General features: G+C 40.0%; 1 protein-coding gene and 1 long non-coding RNA gene across 36 annotated transcripts in view; one reads left to right on the top strand and one right to left on the bottom strand.

Annotated features, from left to right (window-relative positions):
* Positions 1-2,041: 2,041 nt before the first annotated feature.
* Positions 2,042-7,538, top strand: LOC105378410 (uncharacterized). Of its 2 annotated transcripts, none has more exons than XR_001747528.2 (2): positions 2,042-4,635; positions 7,293-7,538. It is a non-coding gene; the product is annotated as an uncharacterized LOC105378410 (long non-coding RNA). The 2 variants fall into 2 exon arrangements; XR_001747527.1 differs by lacking the exon at positions 2,042-4,635 and adding an exon at positions 4,642-4,867.
* SHLD2 (shieldin complex subunit 2) overlaps positions 5,852-22,938 on the bottom strand; it is a 96,993-nt gene continuing 79,906 nt past the window's right edge. For 16 of the 34 annotated variants that reach the window (NR_165106.1, NR_165108.1, XM_047425370.1 and 13 more), the window contains 4 exons: positions 21,222-21,428; positions 17,014-17,242; positions 10,117-10,232; positions 5,852-6,833 (listed from right to left, as the gene is read on the bottom strand). Coding sequence is in view for 31 of the 34 variants with exons in the window: in XM_047425370.1 (XP_047281326.1) it covers positions 6,634-6,833; positions 10,117-10,232; positions 17,014-17,242; positions 21,222-21,428 (752 nt within the window). In the remaining 3 variants the exon portion in view is untranslated. Of the gene's footprint in view, positions 8,296-10,116; positions 10,233-17,013; positions 17,243-21,221; positions 21,429-22,938 lie in introns of all 34 variants that reach the window. The other 18 variants (NR_165105.1, XM_047425374.1, XM_047425376.1 and 15 more) reach the window with 5 other exon arrangements.

Here is a 22,938-nt window from a genome sequence, read left to right as displayed (position 1 = left end):
AGAAAAAGATTGATGGGTTGATCCACGTAAATATTTATGATTTCTGCATGTCAAAACATATATAACAAGCTTGGGAAAAATGTCTGCAACACATGTTAAAAATTACTAACTTTATAAGGAGAACATACTAATTTAATAAAAGGCTTCTCCCAAATAAAAATGGTCTAAGGTAAAATATGAAAAAGCAAACTGCAAATGACTGATAAGCATATGAAACAAATGTACAATCACTTTAGCAAAAAAATAATTCAATTAAGGCTGGGCGCAGTGGTTCACACCTGTAGCCTCAATACTTTGGGAGGCTGAGGCAGGCAGATCACTTGAGGCCAGAAGTTCAAGACTAGCCTGGCCAACATGGCAAAATCCTGTCTCTACCAAAAATACAAAAACTAGCTGGGCATGGTGGTGCGCACCTGTAATCCCAGCTACTCAGGAGGCTGAGGCTGGAGAATCGCTTGAACCCAGGAGGCAGATGTTGCAGTGAGCCAAGATCGCACCACTGCACTCCAGCCTGGGTGACAGAGTGAAACTGTGTCTCAAAAAGAAAAGAAAAAGAAAAAAGAAAAAGAAAACCTCAAAAAAAAAATTCCAATTAAAACAGATAACCTTTTTTAAACCTAACAACTAGTCTTTTACTTATGCCATTCAGTTTAGAGAGAGTGTGGAAAACTTCTGATAGGAATATATTTCAGGATAACCTTTCTGAGAACATTTTAAAAGTAGGATTCAAGAGCACACACAGATGATGGAATCCTGTGTAGTTGATATGATTTAATCTATGTTGATTGATTTGGAAAGACATATATGGCAAATTGTGGAGTAAAAAAAGTACTCACTAGATACTGGCCTATATGGAATGGTCCCATTTATGTAAAATTGTGTATGTGCATGCACAGATCTGTCTTCTATCAGGGTATCTGGAAAATGTTCAACAAAATAGTAACAATGGTTATCTGTTTTGTTTTGTTTTTTCAGAGACAGGGTCTTGCTGTATTGCCCAGGCTGGAGTACAGTGGTGCAATCATAGCTCACTGTAGCCTCTAACTCCTGGGCTCATGCCACACAATCCTCCCGCCTCAGCCTCCTGAGTAGCTGGGACTACAGGCATGTACCACCTTGCTTGGCTCTCGTTATCTGTTGATACTGGAATTTCTGCTTTTTTCCTGGTACAGATACATACGTACAAGTACTTTGACCCCAAAATTCTATTTTCTTAGAATAAATTCCCAGAAGGAATGAAAGATGTGTGCAAAGACTATCAATGAGAATGTTGGCCAGACGTGGTAGTCTACACCTGTAATCGCAGCACTTTGGGAGGCTGAGGCAAAGGGGATCACTTGAGGCCAGGAGTTTAGACCAGCCTGGGCAACATGGCAAAAACATGTCTCTACAAAAAATACAAAAAGTATCCAGGTATGGAGGCATATGCCTGTAGTCCCAGCTACTCATAGGAAGCTGAGGCAGGAGGATCACTTGAGCCCAGGGAGGTTGAGGCTGCAGTGAGCCATGATCACACCACTGCACTCCAACCTGGTTAACAGAGTGTCTCTAAAAATAAAATAAAATAAGATGTAGATACATGCAGGAGGCTGAGGTGATGGATCACTTGAGCCCAGGAGTTTGAGTCCAGCCTGGGCAACATTGAAAGACTATATATTTTAAAGTAGACACATGTATAAAATCACACATGCATAAAACAACTGAAGGAATATCTATTAAAATGTTGGCAGCAATTAGCTTTGGTTGGTAGAATAACAGAAGGGTTACTTTTCTCACTTCGTTCATCCATATTTTCCAAAGTTTAAAAAAAAAAGAAACGGCCTGGTGCAGTGGCTCATGCCTATAGTCCTAGCACTTTGGGAGGCCAAGGCAAGAGGGTCGATTGAGTCCAGGAGCTCAAGACCAGCCTGGGCAACGTAGGGAGACCCTGTCTCTACAAAAAATAAAAAATCAGTTGTTGTGGTCTGCACTTACAGTTCCAGCTACCAGGGAGGCTGAGGTGGAAGGATTGCTTGCGCCCAGGAGGTAGAGGCTACAGTGAGCCATAATTGTGCCACTGTACTCCAGCCTGGGTGACAGAGCAAGACTGTCTCTCAAAAAAGGCAAAGCAAAACAAAACAAAAAACAAGGAACATGCATTTTTGTTTAAAGGAAAACGTTCTTTTTTTTAAGTTTATAATTTTTTTTTTTTTTTAAACAGAGTCTCACTCTGTCGCCCAGGCTAGAGTGCACTGGCGTGATCTCAGGTCACTGCAAGCTCCACCTCCCAGGTTCAAGCAATTCTCCTGCCTCAGCCTCCCAAGTAGCTGGGATTACAGGTGTGCACCACCACGCCTGGCTAACTTTTGTATTTTTAGTAGAGATGAGGTTTCACCATGTTGGCCAGGCTGGTCTCGAACTCCTGACCTCAAGTGATCTGCCCGCCTCAGCCTCCCAGAGTGCTGGGATTATAGGCGTGAGCCACTGTGCCTGGCCTTAAGTTTATAATTTCTTAACATGGTGTTTAATTAAGCCTATTCACAAATATTCTTAAATAACATACCAAAAGAATTTACTTATACTCTAATAGGAAAGATTCTACATTAGGATGCAGAATCTTAAGGAAACAATCTTCAATTTCTTGACTTAGACATTCTTGGTAACAGACCCACACAGTAATTAGGTAGCACTTATGTATTATGATATTACCTGGGGTGTTTATAAGCTCATCCTTTAATAAGCTAGACTAAGTGCAGTAAATCAGCTCACTCTGCAACCAACCAGTCCCACCTCCTAACTGCTCCTGAACTGCAAAGACCAAAAGCCTCAGAGAAGACATATTTCCCAAACTTTCTTGCAGCTAAAGCTCTCAGTGTGAATCATGTTCCATCAATGAAACACACACATGTGCAATATGGAAGATGAGTGAAATCCAGGCTATCTTCCTGAAGCTACTGTTCCTGGCAAGTGTAGCTGTGGGGACTGAGTTTTGGGCAGCAGCAACTAACTCCCAGCTTCCATGTGCTTGAGAGTCAGTTGCCAGGATGGCAGCAGCTGCATCCTCAGTCTAAGATGGCAGCCAATGGTGATGTTTTCATGAATCCACCGTTCACGTGGCAGCCTCCTGGAGCTCAGACTGATGCCTGCTCCTCCAGCCTTCCAATACCTTTGCAAACACCTGAATTCCACATTAATCTCTCTCTGTTTAGAATTCCCAGAGTGGCTTCGGTTTCCTGGGCTGAACCCTGCCTGGTAACTCCATTTTAACAGGCTTCTAGATCTTTCCTCAAAAACTGTAAAGCTGATGATGGTTTTGAAAAAAATCACGATTTCTTAACAACGTGGAAGCAGAGAGGTCACCTTTAGCAAATGTATGCCTTAAGTGGGTAGAATTCACTTCATAATAACAAATCAGGTTCAAGACCTCCAAAGACATAATGACAATTAATTGGCAAACCTCATCCCCTCTCACACATTTCTACCCTGTTGACATTAAATGAAGGGCCAGAATTAAGCTACTGATAAAGACGAACACTTTATTCTAATTGTTCTATGATTCATGACCTGTGTTCCAACACCTAGAAACCCATCAGGATACAAATATATCACTTAAAATAAGACACATAGGGATGGTTAGTTTTTCTGTCTCATTCTATATTGTTCTGAGAAATTACAGATATTTTCTTCTAAGAAAGGCATGATCAACTATTCAAGTTTTGCTGAATCTAAGGTAATGTCAGAATACTCTTAAACACCTTACGGCCTCAGATCCCAGTAGTTTAGAATTCTAGGGATGATGTAAATTTATAATCACTGTGAAAATGTTATCCTATCAAAACTCTGTAGAAACATCTATGCTTTTGCAATAACAGCGTAAAAGACCTCTTCTGATGAGAGAGACAGAGAGAGAGAGAGAGAGGGAGAGAGAAAGAAAAAAGAAAGAAAGATAAATTAGGGAGTTGGGGTAACCAGGTAATTTAGGCCAATGGATTCAACTGTGCCTTAAGCTGGTACTACCCTCATTTATGTGAGTCAATCAAGTCCCCCTTTTTTGCTCAAGCTACTCTGAGTTGGGTTTTTATCACTTGCAACCAAGAGTCACGACTAACAAACCCATCCTACTGTTACCTCTTTTGCCTTGGCTCTGTATTCCACACAGATTTAATCCTGGCGCTGATATAATTTTGTTTAAATATTTCTTCACCAGCTTGCCTGTGAACTTACAGAAGGCAGACATTTGTGTCTTTGCATTCCCAGTACCTAGCACATGGTAGACATTCAGCGAACGTCTGCAGGGTGGATCATGCACCCAATGTTGTCAACTCATTTGATGATCAGCCCCCTTTCCCCCAACCAAAAAAAAAAGATGTAAAATGAAACAGCACAGATCTTACTAGTGGGGAGAAAGGTGAATGCCTCTAACGCTTTTAGAAAAAGGATACCTTTGGGGAAACTAAGTGACTAACAAATAAAAATGGTTCTCTAAAAATAGGAGAGCTGTCCCTGCAAGCTGAACTATCAGAAGATGAAGAATGAGGTCTCCCTGAAATGCCCACCATAAGACTGCCAGATATGGGACTGCTGGATGACACTCTGGCTACCCCACTGAGTTTTATGAAAACATAACAGAATAAAGACACTTACTTGTCAACTCAGGTAAAGAATACACACAGAAGGTGTCTTAGTCCGTTCTGGGTGCTATAACAAAATAACAGACTGGGCAATTTATAAGTAACAGAAACTTATTTTTTACAGTTTGAAGGCTGGGATGATCAAGGTGCCAGAAAATTGAGAATCTAGTGAGGGCTTGCTCTCTGCTTCAAAGATGACACCTTCTGGCTGTATCCTGTGGCAGAAGGGGACAAAGAAGCTCCCTCGGGCCACTTCCGTAAGGGCACTGATCCCATTCACAAGGGCAAAGCCCTCATGACCTAATCACCTCCCAGATGCCCCACTTCTGAATGCCATCAGAGATGAGGTTTCAACGTAAGAATTTTGGGAGGACACATTCAGACCATAGCAGGAGCAATGGGCTGATCCTGATCCCACTTAAATAGCTCATAACTTCTGTAGATAGCTCAGATTCCTCAGGATTGGAGGAAACAGTTCCCAACCTAAATAAGGGCTCCTGGAAATATGTGTTAATGAATGAAATACATACCAACAACTGTGAAGAGATGTTGGTGTGATCTGTTGACTCACCTGAAATGGTTTAAAGATTTCTTCCCAATAGGATGTGAAGAGCCATCTGTTCCTGGGGATTATGTTCTGGTTGATGTAGGGATTAGGTCTCCACTTGAGGACAAAGTGGGGAAGGGCACACTTAAGCGAACAGCTCTCTTGGTTGGCCTATATTGACTGGGCAGATTTTATATCAGAATTCCAAATATCCGCCTAGTGTGGTTATAGTTGAGAGAGCACAGATTAGAAGGTGTCAACTACAGGCTCAAGTTTCATCACCCATTCAACGAATCATTGAAGGGAGCCAATGATTTTGTTTGAATTCCAGTCTCTCTAGATACAAAATGGAGTCAATTCTTTCTGTACCCACCTTATTAGTTGCTAGACAAAACTTTGGCAATCATTTGCTCTAATTCCCTTATCTCCCCCACAAAGAAACTCATCAGTTAAAGCCTTGTTCTTACCTTTCTTGGTCACAGAACCCTCTGAGGATTTGTTGAAAGCTATGGATCCTTCTCCACAGAAACATGCAGTTGTGTGTGTGTGCTCCCACAAAGTCATTTTGGCATATTATTTTTGAAAGAATCACAAAACTCTTGTGGTTCATTCTTAGGGAAGCCAAGTTAAAAAACAACCACCACCTCTGAACCAAAGGAATTTTTAAAAACATACACAGAGTAAAAGAAGCTTGTTCATGTCATCATGAATTTATTTTCAGGCAATATGATAATCTATTAACACTCAGCATACTCTGAACTTACAGAATAAGTACCACGCCATACTTCCTCATTAATGACTATCATTTTACATGAGCTTCTTCCACAATCACAATGAGAGAACAGATTGCTACATGTTTGCTGGTAAATGCATTCAGTAAGGCACTCAAATCCTAGACACGAACTAAGCACAGAACGCTCTTCCCTGCTTTAATAAATTGAAACATGATCTCATTTCCTTCATTTTCAATACTTTTTATAGAAAGACACGCTTGTCTTGAACTTGTCTAAACATAGGTTTATATAAACTAATCCATTATCATTATAGTTATAATCAAGGAAATGATTTCACATTGACGGTTTTTTAGGTAGGGATAAGCGAAAGCACTGCAGCAGTTTCTGAGGGAATGTCTTCTCTGTGGTTCCCCATACTTAGTACAATGCCTGGAATGTAGCAGGGACTAAATACAGTGAACAAATGGGCAAACCTTTAATTCCCAGGGATCTGCTACATATTGCCTTGACTGGTAGATCATTTCTCCAGGAGAAAGTAAGAAACCAAAAGACAAAAACAATCTTTTTAAACCTCACAGGATTTTCTTAGAAAAAAGTTTTAATTTATATATCTAGTGCAATTCTCTTTGTAAAATATATTTCATAAAAAATCCAAAGCAAAAGCCCTGTCATTCATTTATTTCAAAAGACAAATCATTTCAGTACTTCTTCCTTGAAATGCCTGCAATTTCTTCCTCTGGCCTCAGAGACGGGCATTGGCTCCATGCTTTACAATGTCAGGATAAAAATCCAGGAGGGAGAAATCTTGTTGTAATGGATAGCTGTTTTCATCTAACACAAAAAGGCTCTGAATCTTTAATACACAAGGTTCTGCGCTGACTGCCAACAAGGAGTGGAACAGGTCTGCCACGACCATCCCATAGGTGATCTCTGAGGAAGGAACTGCAAAAGACAAAAACACAGAGCTCCCAAGATCGCTGCTAGCTTGACAGGAGCACACACATTGAATGGTTTCATTGTTTCTTTTGGTTCCTCAAGTCTCAAACCCATTTTAAATTTCTCCTCCCGTCCAGTAGCGGTGGCTCACACCTGTAATCCCAGCACTCTGGGAGACGGAGGCAGCCGGATTACTTGAGGTCAGGAGTGCGAGACATGCCTGGCCAACACAGTAAAACCCTGTCTCTACTAAAAATACAAAAATTAGCCGGGAGTGGTGGCACATGCCTGTAATCCCAGCTACTCGGGAAGCTGAGGCAGGAGATTTGCTTGAACCCAGGAGGTAGAGATTGCAATGAGCTGAGATTGTGCCACTGCACTCCAGCCTGGGCAACAGAGCAAGACTCTGTCTCTAAATAAATAAACAGGTAAGTAAACTACTCTTTCTATACCTTCTCTTTCTAGTTACAAGCTATTGAGGCACTCCAGAGTGACGGCATGTGATCCCCCTGACACAAGAAACAGGCCCAGATAACACACCGTTCAGACCGACAGCAGTTCTGGTTATGCTGCAGTACATCAGAAAAGTGCTCTTATCCATCCACAGTTCTTATCACAGTTACTTATGCATATATTCATTTTTTATATAAAAGAATCTTGAATCGGTCACTTAAATATTGAATCTCAATAATAAAAAATACTAAAAGTATAGCTAAATGTGTTATTTTATTTTGCATTTGTCCTACACTCTTCCCCTCACTTTTTTAGGACATGTAATCAAGACATTTGGCAGGTTGTTCAATACCAGAATGACAGAGCACCATCAACCATGCTCAGACCGTACTAACCCCTTGACAATTATCACAGTCTTTCTTGGATGGGGACTACAGAGTCCTGGAGGACCAATGACATATTTTGGGGGGTATGATAATTCTCTACAATAACTTTTAAATTTTGTATTTTCACTGCAATAAACTAAAACATAACCAATATTAGTAATAGTCTGCATGGTCTGATGACCACTTTATAACCAATGACATTTTGACTTATGATCACAATCTAATTAATGCCAAGTAGTACAACTTTAATTGTCTCAAGAATGGACAAAACACTGAAGTATATGTGATATGAGAATGATGCTTCTCTAAGAGATAAAGACTAATTTACATTATGCAAAAAAGAAGAGATAGGCCGGACACGGTGGCTCACGCCTGTAATCCCAGCACTTTGGGAGACCAAGGCAGGCAGATCACCTGAGGTTGGGAGTTCAAGACCAGCCTAACTAACATAGAGAAACCCCATATCTACTAAAAATACAAAATTAGCCGGGCATGGTGGCGCATGCCTGTAATCCCAGCTACTTGCGAAACTGAGGCAGGAGACTTGCTTGAATCCAGGAGGCAGAGGTTATGGTGAACTGAGATCGCACCACAGCACTCCAGTCTAGGCAACAAGAGCAAAACTCCATCTCAAAAAAAAAAAAAAAAGAAGAGATTACACTGAAAATATATAAGTAACATTAAGAAAAGGAATGAAAATAGCCAAAAGAATAAAAATGAAATAAAGAAAATGGGGGAAAAAAACGGAGAGAGGCTTCTAATTAAGATGTAGAAAGCTGGAAAAAGTGGCTCCTACCCTAACAGTTACTGGAAAAAATTGAATAAATATCAAATCATCATTTTCTTGAATACACATGAGAACCAAGGTTGTAAAACAGCCAAAAAGACTGAAACATAAGGAGACAGGTGCCTCCAGGGAGATGGAACAGGAGCACAGTTTCCCTTGGGGCAGGCCTTGGGAAGAAGACAGGTCCTCCATACAGGCAGGAAAGAAGAATGTGATTAATTTTTATTAATAAATTAATTGCAAAAAGCCAATGAACTGCCAGTGTCAGCAACATAAGGAACATCTGCATCCTCACAGGCTCTTCCACATAGTAGTCTCACCTCCACCAGGTGCTCATAAGACTGGGGGCAGGGCAAGACATCAGAGAAAGCTTCCAACTACAAAACACAAAGCACCATCTGGCCTCCCCTTTAAGGAACAAAAGCCTTCAACTGCTGGAGGAGGGACACCAAATCCTGTTGCCCCAGGGTACAGGTGAGGAACCAGTACAGATGGGGGAAAGAAAAAAGAAAAAAAACCCCTCCATCCTGGGGGAGGACTGAAAAACCACCCTGGGTCAAGACCATTAGTGGTCCCCTACTGCTGGGGCAGGGCCAGGACCACACAAGACCCACTAAAGGCACAAGACAGAGCTCAGCTGCCATGCCACATAAGGGACAGGGCTACCAAGAAAGCGCCATATTCAACATCCTGTATAAGACTGGGGCTGGACCAGAATCAAAGAGGAACAACCCTGCTCCCGCCCACCAGGTTAGGATGCACCAAATAACAACCAACAAAAGCTTGTGCAACTTGGGGAGGTGCAAGAACGTGGAAAGAAACTTTCTCTGAGGCCCAGGTGCAGAGTGGAGGGCTATGCTGATGGTGGAGCAGGAATACTGGGGAACCACTTCCCACCATAAGCACAAGATAATTTGAAACCAGTGGTGACCTGAAGGTAACCAGAGAAACAACAAAACCTGAATCCAACTCAACTTATGACAAGACTGACCATCCTGCTCACCCCTCACCTCCAGTAAAGGACCGAGAGGCATGCCTGTTTCCAGGTACAAATACTATTTACCTCAGTTTGTACTGTTCTACTTAATATATGCAATGTTCAGCATTCAACCCAAAATTACTAGACACCCCCAACTAAAAAAATACACGAAAAACAATCTACTATTGAAAGATAAAGCAATCACGGAACCAGATTAGCTCATCAGCTTAGAGGATCTGAGGCTAATGAGAACAGGAATGGAGTTTGAATACCTGACAAATATATTATCTTTGCTTTATTCTTAGCCACTGACAACTAAGACATCACGGTTGAAGATCTTGCAAATCCATTCCACTGACAGTGGACTATCTTCATATATATTATGTCACACACTCATTGACTTCACTCTTATAAAACTAGAGTTAAGTAAAATAGTTTTTGCTTACCAACAGGAAATGTAGGTTAAGAAGAAATTAGGTGCCTCCCGCTGTTCATGTACTAACAGGTGTAAAGCAAGTCAACCTTCTAACTTACATAGGCTTATATTTCACTTAAGCTAAATTATCCTTCGGTTTTCATATGGACAGAAAAGCTCTTAATTTAAAGTACAGTGCTCTTTCTGTTCCGATATACCATTTATACTCCTGAATAAAACAACTTCTTGATGGCACACTGATATATTACCTATCACTCTGTTGAGGCAGTCTGCAGAAATGTTGAGAAGAATCTTCTCTATCAGCTTTGATTCTACACGGATACAAACATCATGTCTTCCATCAATGGCAGTCATTAACGCTGGCCTACAAAAGAGTAAACAACACACGACCTTCAAAAAGATTTTCAGATAAAAGAAATGCTTAAATGAAAAATAATTCCAAAAAGCACTTGGTTTTTATGCAGGATTAATTTGAATGCCTAAAACAACTCTAGGATGTTCTGTGACATCCTAGAAGGAAAAAAAGGTTTTTTTTTTTCCCCAAGAGCTTCAAATGATAAATTACTACATTTTATTTATTCTATATCCATTTTTAAATTTCAGATACTAATATAAAAATATATTAAACTGTTTTATAAATTATTTTTAGAAATGAAAATAAAAATAATAATCACATATTTCACAATCACAATTTCAAGTTACTTTTTTCAACTGAATTCTTTCCTATCAGAAATAAACTGTTTTGCATATCAATAAACAGGGAACTGGATTAACAATTTTCAGTGCATCCTACATCTTAATGCTATGTAGCTGATAAAAAGAATGAAGAACATTTGCAAGTGCTATTAGGGAAGGAGCACCAGGATAGACTCTAGGGAACAACAACATGAACAATATTCTTCTGTCCACATGCTTCTAAAGAAAGGGATACACATGTGCTGGGATGAACATAATAAATCACTGGAAGGACATACAAAAAACCTTCTCACCAGCAATGGAAGCAGCACTGGTGAGAGAGGGTTGGATGGTGAAGGAGACTTTCACTCTTTGTTTTGTAACCTCCTATGTAGTGTGCATTTTAATCATGGCATGTGGTACCTATTTTATAACTACATTGATTTTTAAAAAATAAATTGAGAACAGAATTCAGAAACAGGCTCATTAGCGGGGGAATTTAATGTGACAGAGCTAAAACATAACTACTGATTTTCCCCCTAAAAACCCACTTCCCCCTTTATTCACACGATGACTCTATGTTCCTTCCTCTTTTCACTCTACACTCTTTCCTCAGCCTCTCTCTCCCTCCATTATTTATTTCAACAAATATAAACTGAGTATCTATCATGGACTGTGGTAAGTGCTGGGTACCCACTAGTGAAAAAGACAAATCTGGTTCCGTCACTCAAGGAACGTAAAACTGTAGAGGGATAGGAAGAAATTGGGCATGCGCGGTGGCTCATGCCTGTAATCCCAGCGCTTTGGGATGCCAAGGTGAGGAGGACTGCTTGAGGCCAGGAGTTTGAGACCAGCCTGGGCAACACAATGAGACCTCATCTCTACAAAAAGAAGAAGAAAGAAAATAAGCTTTTCAACAGTGGTGCCAAGATGACTAAACAGGGATGGAACAGTCTTTTCAAAAATTCACGCTGGGACAACTAGATATCCACATGCCAAAAAATAAAATTACACCCCTTCCTTATCCCACATACAAAACTTAACTCAAAGTAGATAATAAACCTAAATGTAGGAGGTAAAACTACTAAACTCTTAGAAGAAAATACGGGAGCAAATCTCCATAACCTTGGCTTAGAAATGACACCTTTCTTAGATACGACCCGAAAGCACATGCAACAAAAAGAAATACAGAATAAGAAGTACTGGCAAGAATATGGGGAAATTACAACCCTCATATTGCTGATGAGAATGTAAAATTGTGCAGCAATTTTGGAAAACAGCCTGGTAGTCCTCAAAAGGTTAAACAGACAGTTACCATATGACCCAGCAATTCCACCACTCCTAAATATATACCCAAGAGAAATGAACACACATATCCACACAAAAACTTGTACACAAATGTTCACAGCAGCATCATTCATAATAGCCAAAGAGTAGAAACAACCCAATTGTCCATCAACTGATGAATGGATAAATAAAATGTGGTATATGCATACAATACAATATTATTTTGCAATAAAAAGGAAGTAGTGATACATGCTACAACATGGATGGACCTTGAAAACATCATGCTAAGTGAAGCCAGTCACAAAAGATCACATATTATATAATATTTATATAAAATATCTAGAACAGGCAAATCTATAGAGACCGAAAGCAGATTCGTAGTTGCCATAGGTTGAGGGGCATGGGGAATGGAGAGTGACTGCTAATGAGTATGAGGCTTTGTAAAGGGCTGGGTGACGAAAATGTCCTAACTGGTTGTGGTGATAGCTACACAGCCCTGGGAATATACTACAGCCATTGAATTGTACATTTCAGAAGATTAATTTGATGGTATATGAATTTTAACTTCAGTAAAAATGTTTTCTAGAAAAGACAGTATGCAACTACAAATTACAGTAAGCACACCCAGGCTACTATAACAGAAAATAAAGAAGAGTGGTTAGGAAAGGCCTCTCTGATAAAGCAGCATTTAATCTAAGACATGAAGAAACCAGCCTTGTGGAGTCAGACAGAAGGAAGACATTCGAGAACATCCTAAGGAGAAAAATCAAAATGAAGAACTGAAAGAAGGCCACGTGGCTAGAGTGCTGGACGACAGGGGAGTGGCAGCAGATGAGACTGCAGAGGAAACAAGCATAAGGAGACGACTGATGGGTGAAGCAAAGGCAAAGGGTAATCACACTGCCAATGGGTAGAGAATAAAGGGGAGGAGGCAAGGCCAGGAGGAGCCCCACCAAGAGACTGCTGGTGTGCTGGTTTGCGCAACAGGTCGTAGGGACTCAGATGAGGCCTGAGTGATTCCAGACCAGCAGGCACTGACTTTCCATTTTGGTTTCACAGTAATTGAGGTTCAGCTAGGGGAAGGTAAACAGGGATGCCACATGCCCCGCAGCATGTGGGATATGGTACATAATGAGAAACTGTCCTGAGAAAAATGTCAACAATGCCCCTGCTGAGATACACTGGACTAAGATGTTAGCAGTGGAGATGGAAAAAAGTGGATGAATTTGTGATATAGTTCTGAATGAAAATTCCTAGGACTTGCTAATAGATTAGATAGGGGAGGTAGGGAAGAGAAAATGATGCGACGATTGTGCCCAGGTTTCCAGCCTAAATAATTGGGTAGATGGTGTGCCATTTTCCAGAAAGTATAAAAATGAAGAGAACTAGATTTGAGTGTGGTTAGGAAAAACAAGAGTCTATTGTGGGTATGTTTAAATGTGAGATGGACGTCAAGCAAAGAATTTGATACCTGACTACTGGAGCCTGGAGGAGAAAATCAGGGTGAAGATGTTAAGTACAAATACGAAAACAGCTGTGATCATCCAGGCAGAATGTACAGAAAGAATAAGAGGAAGGACGCAGACGAGAGCTCAAGATTAACCCCAGCATTTAAAGAGGGGGTAGAAGAGGCTGAGAAAGAAGGGCCTGAGAGACAGGTTAGAAAGCAAGGAGGAGGCTGTTTCAAGAAGGAGGAAGTGGACTGACATGCTGAATATAACTGAGAGCAGTTAGAGTGAGGAAAGAAGTATCCATGCCTCAGGCAACATCAAAAGTGTAACTTTGACAAAAGCAGCTTCTGCAGCATGGTAGGAGTAGAATGGAATAACTGAAGTGAAACTGAAGACATAATAGGGGAGAGAGAGTATATTTAAAACTCTTTAACAAAGTTTGGCTGGGTATAAAACAGAATAGAAAAACGAAGGGACAAGAGGGAGATGTAATGTTAATGGATGATTTTGTTTGTTTTTTAATAAAAGAAATATGGGAGTGTCTTTATAGGCTAGTGAGAATAATCCATTATGAGAGGTAATCACTGAAGATTAAGAAGGAAAAACAAAACAGGGTGCAGAAACCAAGCAAAAGTTCAATTACCACAAATAACCTTATAAGCCTAGCCCAGACTTCTCTTGCAAATTGCATTTCTTTACATCTAACCACTTTCCAACTTGTTACCTCTCAGGAACTCAAGCTCAATATGATCAACATTTCTCCCAAGGTTACTTGTTTTAATAAATAATCTTATTGTTCACCCAACTGTCAATGATTTGCAATGTACCTGTGCTCTCTCTTTACCTACCAATCACTACATCTTGCAAACTATTTTCCGACCATTCTCAAATCTGTCCACTTCTTTTTATTCCTACCACTTCCTCTCTAGTCAAGCCACCATCATCTCCCCTCCAAAATAAGGCAACAGCCTCTTACCGCTTCTCTGCACTAGCTTCATTCTAATCCACTCTCCAACGCACAGCTAACTCACTTCTGATGAACAGAATTTGGTAGAAGTGATGCCACATGACTTCTGAGTCTAGGTCACAAAAAGGCTGGCTTCCACCTGGAACTCTCTTTCTTGCCTTTCCTGCTCTGAGGAAATGAGCTGCCACTTTGTGAGAACATTCAGGCAGCCCGTGGAGACACCCAAGTGAAGAGGAACTCAACTTGCCAGCCATACGAATGAGCCACTTTGGAAATGAATCCTCCAGCCCCAGTCAAGCCTTCAGATGACTGCAGCCCCAGCCTACACCTTGACTATAACCTCTTGAGAGACCCAAACATTTCCTAGTGCTGCCTAAATAGGAGCCTTAATTGTGGTTTGACCTGCTGGGGTTTTTTGCTTCTAGTACAGAAAAATAAATGTATTTCTTGTATTCCAAAAATGTAAATCTGAATATTCTGTAGAAACATTGTTAAAAATGGTATTTGAGTTTTATGATAGCTTGAAGAACAGGAACTATGCTATCTACATGTTAATTTAATAAATGTCTGTGGCCTCGTATGAGACTCCAATGCAATATCTAATGTTGCTTCCATTGGAAAATCAGCTCCAAGTTACAACCAATGTAAAATATGATCAACCCACTCATAGTCTGGGACTGTTATGCCACACAAATGTTCATTAAGTGTTTCTTAAATGGACTACCAAGCTTCTTGGGCACAATAAGTCTACTTAGGTCAACTAGTATAACATCCACAGTACATATGTGATATGTGAACATACGTGGATTCCTAATAAATATTTGACTGAGTCTTAGAAAAATAATCAATGAGAGTTTTCTCTTATTCAGTTTGCTGATTGATTTATGTAGATGATTTTGGAGTCACATACTTGATAACTTGAAGGGAGTTTGTTAATTTCAATATTTTCTTTTCAAGGAAACCATATAATCTGGACTCTAATAACAATTTAAAGGCTTTTAGGCTGCACTTGGTGGCTCACACCTGTAATTCCAGCACTTTGGGAGGCTGAGACGGGTGGATCACCTGAGGTCAGGAGTTCGAGACCAGCCTGACCAACATGGAGAAACCCTGTCTCTATAAAAATACAAAATTAGCCAGGCGTGGTGGCACATGCCTGTAATCCCAGCTACTTGGGAGGCTGAGACAGAAGAATCACTTGAACCTGGGAGGCAGAGGTTGCGATGAGCTGAGATCGCACCAGTGCACTCCAGCCTGGGCAACAAGAGCGAAACTCTGTCTCAAAAAATAAAAAAAAAAGGCTTGTAAATAAATAAAAAATAATAATTCTTGCCTTAACATGACCATTCAACATTCTAGTAAGACAACAAACTAGCACTACATCTTTAATGTGGTATAGTTTAGGAAGAGATCTTAAATACCTCATACTAGTTATGCCATAATCAGGTGATACTGATCTGTGAAGTCCTTCTCTTGAACAGTCATTTTGTAAACTAAAGATTCAAAGGCCCTCCTCCCCATAAGGAATAGTATTGAGCAACATTTTTGTCCAATAAATGCTTATATTGAATAGAAACATTTGGAATGACATAAATAAGTCACCTATACATACTTTTGAGGGGCCTTAACTATTAATAAATCAATGTTGTTTGTTACATACCATGCATTTTTTGTTTTGATTTTGAGACAGGGTCTCACTCTGTTGCACAAGCTAGAGTGCAGTGGTGCAAACATAGCTCACTGTAACAATCGATCTCCTGGGCTCAAACAATCCTCCTGCCTCAGCCTCCCAAGTAGCTGGGACTACAGGCCTATGTCACCTGCCCAGCTTTTTTTTTTTTTTTTTTTTTGGTAGAGATGGGGTTTCCCTATGTTTCCCAGGCTGGTCTTGAACCCCTGGGCTCAAGCGATCCCCCCACCCCGGCCTCCCAAAGTGCTGGGATTACATGCGTGAGCCACCACACCCAGCCTACCATACATCTTAATTCAATCTTCTTTTCCACAAAAGCAACTTTCACAGTAATAGCAAAATTTATTCACTTATTTATAACAAACATAATATCTGTAAAGAGAAATAAGGTTTACAAATTAAGCTTCTATAACTTTTCTTGAAGTATGCCATGATAACATGTGGAATATATCTGAATTTGGTTTTTAGATACCGCAATATTTAGAAATAATCATAAGGAGCATAAAACACTGAGTGCTATTTTGTAAACACATGTAATTTATGAGGTAAAGAGAAAAATATCTGAGCTTTTGACTACCTATTATTCAAAAAACAATGTGTTTTTCACTGAGCTGATTAGCAGTTTTACCATACAACATTTATTTGCTAGCTTTAATTTCTAAGGTAAAGGTGGGAAAACACCTTAAATGTCTTACTAGCTTCCACAACAACTCAGAGGTGAGATCATATGATACTTTTAGCCCTTAAATTCTATGTTAAGGTGGGAAAATGAGTTATTTATGAGCATTTAGATTTTGGTTAAAAAGTAAACCAAGGAAAATGTTTCTTTGGTACAGCTGTTTGAAGACAATAAAATCTCCCAATTACTGCTTTAAGAAATTCCTATCTTTAAGAAATTCCTATAACGATTCCTGGGTAATTTTTGCTTCCATAAATAGCTATCTATCACTCGGAAAATTTTATTCTCTTCGACTAGCTCTAGTTAATTATTTTTAGAAAGTAAGGGTTTACAGACTAATTTTTCCAGATCTATAATAATTATTTTCCATCAAATTGGCTTGCTTAGTTGCCTTACCTATAATATATTTTCTTCATAGTAAATGGCAAGCAGCTAAAACATTGTTTGTAGATCCTGTTCTCATCTGTTTCTAGTTCCAATCCACATTTTGCACAACCAGTATATACGATGTTGGGAAGAGAAGAAAAAATACTCTTCAGAGAACTGTGAGCATTTAGCGCTATCTTCTGAGATGCTGTAATAGGAAATGCCAGCTCTGAAATCTGGGCTTTAATCAGAACCACTCCTACAAACAACAAACAGATATATTATAAATTATTGGGCCAAAATTATAACTTTAATTTACAAACATGGCTAATTTTATAGTTGATTTACAGTCACTTGTAGTAAAAGGATACACTGAGGTCTTGTTCTTCGTCTTCTTTACTATTTTCCTAGAATCTAAGGGCAGGGATGTCTGGCTGCAACTGAGAGCAGGTTTACTTGGCTAATTTGGCTGAACATGTGATGTTTCCTTCCTTCCCCATCCTCTGGAATCAGGCAAAATAAGTTCAATACCTCCTTTAGAAGAAATCCCTTCGAATACTTGAAACTAGCTAACATGTCCTCTCTCCTTGCCCTGTCTTCTCTTAAACTGATCATAGTGAAAAGCCAAATAGGGGCCGGGCGCAGTGGCTCACGCCTGTAATCCCAGCACTTTGGGAGGCCGACGCGGGCAGATCACGAGGTCAGGAGATCGAGACCATCCTGGCTAACATGGTGAAACCCTGTCTCTACTAAAAATACAAAAAATTAGCCAGGCGCGGTGGCTGGCGCCTGTAGTCCTAGCTACTCGGGAGGCTGAGGCAGGAGAATGGCTTGAACCCGGGAGGCAGAGCTTATAGTGAGCCGAGATCGCACCACTGCACTCCGGCCTGGGCGAAAGAGCAAGACTCCGTCTCAAAAAAAAAAAAAAGCCAAATAGGAGGTGAACTTTTCTTCTTCTCTCTACCTAAAAATATCAATAGCCTGTTCTCTTTTAAACTTTTTTCCAACTTTCCGCTCACCATTATCATCTATATACTCTGGGTGTGGGTTATAAAAAGTTCTCATTTATTAATCGTTTCTCAGGTGACTCACAAGAAACCTCAAGCATATTCATAATTCACTGCTAATGGCTCATCCATTCACCAGTAAACAAATACTGAATATCTACTATCTCCCAGACATTATTTTTTCCTAATTTACTTTCGTCTTACTGTGTACTGGTGAGGTCTATGAGTTTTCCTGAGCATTATTCTCCCTTTCTCCATAGTCAATTTAAAGGCTTCTTTAAGCCTTAAGCCTTCAAATTTGTTCTTCTTCATCCACTTAGAAGTAAGAACACTCCAGGTCAAGAACTAATCACTCTAGTCTCCTACTGTTTTCTGGTTATCTCTTTCAGAGTCCAGTTAATGATGAGTCTTCTGTTCTTAACTTCATTTGCTTTAGTCTTTCAATGCCCAAAGATGGTTTCATCATCTCTTCCAATTGTGTCACATATCCCTACATGAGTTAGCAGGAGTGTGTAGCGATCGAATATGTAACAAACTGTAGAAGATTCAATACCACATCTTTCCAAAGACATGTCAAATCACTACAAAATTATTATTATTTTTTTTTGTTTTGAGACAGTCTCACTCTGTCGTCCAGGCTAGAGTGCAGTGGTGCAATCTTGACTCACTGCAGTCTCAACCTCCCTGGGCACAAGTGATCCTCCCACCTCAGCTTCCTGAGTAGCTGGGACTACAGGCACACACCACCACACCTGGCTAATTTTTGTATTTTTTTGTGGAGATGGGGATTTGCCATGTTGACCAGGCTGGTCTCCAACTCCTGGGCTCAAGTGATCCACTCTTCTTGGCCTCCCAGAATGCTGGGATTACAGGCTTGAGCCAATGTGTCTGGCCTAAAAAATTATGTAAAAAAAAAAATTTCGATTTTTATTTCAGATTCAGAGGGTAGATGTGCAGGTTTGTTACATGGGCATATCATCACCCAAGTAGAGTCTCCTGTAGTAGGCAGAGTACCCAACAGTTAGTTTTTAAACCCTTGCTCTCCTCCCTCCACTCAAAAAGTCTTTTTTTTTTTTTTTTTTTTTTTTTTTGAGACAGAGTATTGCTCTGTTACCCAGTCTGCAGTGCAGTGGTGCAATCTCGGCTCACTGCAACCTCTGCCTCCTGCGTTCAAGCAATTTTCCTGCCTCAGCCTCCCAAGTAGCTGGGACTACAGGCACCCGACATCATGCCTGGCTGATTTTTGTATTTTTAGTAGAGGCAGGGTTTCACCACGTTGGCCAGGCTGGTCTCAAACTCCTGACCTCAAATGATCCACCCACCTCGGCCTCCCAAAGTGCTGGAATTATAGGCATGAGCCACCCTGCCCAGCCTAAAAAATTCTTAATAATTCAATAATTTTAAAAGAATGTTCACATAATCCTATCATTTTGTAAATTTACACAACTCTTGAAAAGAATTAAAAGGTCATGCTGAATGTGGACTTTGCTTTCAAGGGGGTCACTCCGGCTGAGCACTGAAATTCTGCTGGCGGTAAGATGAGGTACTGGGTAAGCGTCTTCATTTCTTTACAAGGACTCAGGCCTAGCCTCATCCCCCTCTGGCTTTTGTTGAGCAAGCAGACCCTTCTAGGAAATGCTCCCATGCTGATCTCTCTTTCTCCTTTTGTTTAACTATAAAATAGGTTAGGGAAAAGTTCCTTGTGTTTTCATATTCTCTCCCCATTTTTGTCTTAAAAACACATACACTATGACAGAAACTATGAATTCAGCCCTCATAGCTGAACATAAAGAGAATGAAAGAGGCTAAACAGGCCTCTGTGAACAAAGCCTCTGAAGGACTGATTTTAATGGCACAGTTTTGGCATGGCTTGCTAATGAGGAGCACACCTCCAGGACTTCCAAGAACATGCACAATTCCTGGCTGCGTCCTCAAACAAGTGGGGCTATAGCCTCAGAATCTTTCATCATCAGCATGGTGGCCTCCTATTTTGTTGTTGTCCATGATGTTATTTATTTTTATTTTTAAACCTAATTCTAGACTTCAATCCCAGCAGATAACTGTTTTGTGTAAGCAGTAAATAACAGAGTTGACTTCTCCATGGCACCAAACTAAACGTCTCTGCAAAGTAATGTAGCCCCTCAACTGTGTCTGGCATTCCTTCCTGTGGTGACCACCTCTATATGTCTGTGAAGTTGGAGAAGCAGAGCACGGGAGGGGCACATAAATATAAAACTGGCTTAGGAACTTACATGATGCTATAACATTACCAAGATTTTACCAGTTAGTATAAATCTAGAGTCTTTTATGACCATAGGCAACTTCCATTTTTGAAAATAGTATGAAATTTTTATAGTATAAAAGCTTATAAATTTTCTATCATCTGTGTTTACCTTCCAGAAATATTATTAATTTAAACTATCTGCTGGTATTAGTAAATGTTTCAGTGTAGAACTAGGAATAAGGAGCTCTTCTTTGAGAATGAAATCTCTGTATTCAATTAAAAGTTGGGTTTTTTGAGAGGTATTGTCTTTGTTTTCTGCCTGTATTCTCCTTAGCATAGTTTTATGATATAACAATGCTAACCTTCAATCATATATTGGAAAACATATTTATACATATATGTGAATTAACCCAACTAGTAACATTTTAATCTGGCATTTGGCCAAGATAAAGTAAGGAACTGAATTTCTGCTCCCACTTGTCATATAATAAAAAATAGGTATTTGCTCTTTGTCCCTGGTTCCTGGCACATAGTTCCTAAAACTACTGGAATCTAGTTCAGATATTTGCAAAGATTTATATTTCACTTTTATATAGAATTATACATTTTTACCACAAGTGGTAGCCTTTTTGCTTATATTAAAACTAGCAGTGGGCTGGGTGTGGTGGCTCATGCCTGTAATTCCAGCACTTTGGGAGTCCAAGGCAAGAGGATCACTTGAGTCCAGGAGTTTGAGACCAGACTGGGCAACATAGGGAGACTCTGTCTCTGCCAAAATAATAAATAAATAAATAGCTGGGTGTGGTGGCATGCACTGATGGTATGCACTAGCCTTCCCTTCCCTCCTGAGCTACGCGAAAGGCTGAACGGGGAGAATCACTTAAACCTGGGAGGTGGAGACTGCAGTGAGCTGTGTTCACACCACTGTATTCCAGCCTGAGCAACAGAGCAAGACCCTGTTTCAAAAGAAATAAAAATAGCAGAATTTATGTATATAAAGATCTTACCTGAACACTTATCCTCTAGGTGGGTTGCTAAGTCTGATATCTTCACAAAGGAGGGTGCACTTTTTTGAAATTTTGCTTTAAATGTAATTGCCCTTATATCATCATCAAACAAGCACTCACAGGATGACCAAGGCGTTGTATGCAATTCTAGGTTTTCTAGTGTGTAATTGCACTGAACAAAAAGATATTTAAATTCCCAAATATAACCTTAAAAAAAACAGTAAAAACAAAAGTCACCAAAAAGGAAAAAAATCTAGGCTTAGTATCAGATTAAATAGATTGATCTGATTAAGTCAGTTGAATCTAATCTTTTATCACTAAAGAATTTGGGTAAACAGAGACAAAATATGAATGATGCATTAAGACAACAGAAGCATGCTAGAGATTATTATTATTATTATTATTATTTTCCAAGACAGAGTCTCACTCTGTTGCCCAGGCTGGAGAGCAGTGATGTGATCTCGGCTCACTGAAACCTCCACCTCCCAGGTTCAAGTGATTCTCCTGCCTCGGCCTCCTGAGTAGCTGGGATTACAGGTGCGTGCCACCACTCCCGGCTAATTTTTGTATTTTTAGTAGAGACAGGGTTTCACCATGTTGGTCAGGCTGGTCTTGAACTCCTGACCTCATGATCCGCCCACCTCGGCCTCCCACAGTGCTGGGATTACAGGCATAAGCCTCCGTGCCGGGCCACCAGAGATAATTTTAATAAAATATTTTCTAAAGATTCCTTGCCCTCCTGAACGGTCATCATTTATAATAACCAACTGCTTTCTGTAAAGAAAATTCTCATGTATCTATCTATAGGCAAAGTTGTGTTTTGTTTTGTTAAAGAAAGGACACTGAAATGAACCCAAGTCTAATATTTCACTCATATTTCAATAGTTATTTTAGTTAACTTTTCTAGAACAAAAAGCATTTAGACACAATTGTACTTATTTTTAACTCTCAGTAACAATTTTTTTTTTTTTTTTTTTTTGAGATGGAGTCTCGCTCTGTTGCCCAGGCTGGAGCGCAGTGGCGCAATCTCGGCTCACTGCAAGCTCCACGTCCCAGGTTCTAGCCATTCTCCTGCCTCAGCCTCCGGAGTAGCTGGGACTACAGGCGCCCGCCACCACGCCCGGCTAAATTTTTTTGCATTTTTAGTAGAGACGGGGTTTCACCGTGTTAGCCAGGATGGTCTCGATCTCCTGACCTCATGATCCGCCCGCCTCGGTTTCCCAAAGTGCTGGGATTACAGGCGGGAGCCACCACGCCGGCCACAATTCTAATACTTAAAGCCACAATAACACAGACCTTATTACTGTTATATTCTCTATTAGTAAATTCAACTTATCTGTATTATCATATTCTGTATTAGTAAATTCAACTTCAAAACTATAATAAAACAAAAGAGGGTTTCTTAGCACTAATTTTTCTGATAACATCAGCTGTCTTTTTAGTTTCTCACTTCAGGCCATAAATCTAATTTACTACACCTGCTCATCTCCTTAGTTTCTTTCACTAGAGATTTTTTTTTTTTTTTTTTGGTGGAAAATCATCAAACATCTCAGTAAATCTGTAAAGACAGAGCATCACTAGCTAGAACTAAAGCATATATTCCAAGTTACTGCTTAAAACCAATCACTAAAATAGCTTTCTTGTCTTATTACAAAATACCTGATTAGAAAAGTAAGCTAAGAGAAGCCAAGTAAATAAACATATAGCAGCCATAATC

The sequence above is a fragment of the Homo sapiens genome, chromosome 10, assembly GCF_000001405.40.
Source record: "Homo sapiens chromosome 10, GRCh38.p14 Primary Assembly".
NCBI classification, from domain to species: Eukaryota; Metazoa; Chordata; class Mammalia; order Primates; family Hominidae; genus Homo; species Homo sapiens.
The sequence above is the reverse complement of the archived record's forward strand: the minus strand, read 5'-3'. Positions and strand labels throughout refer to the sequence as shown.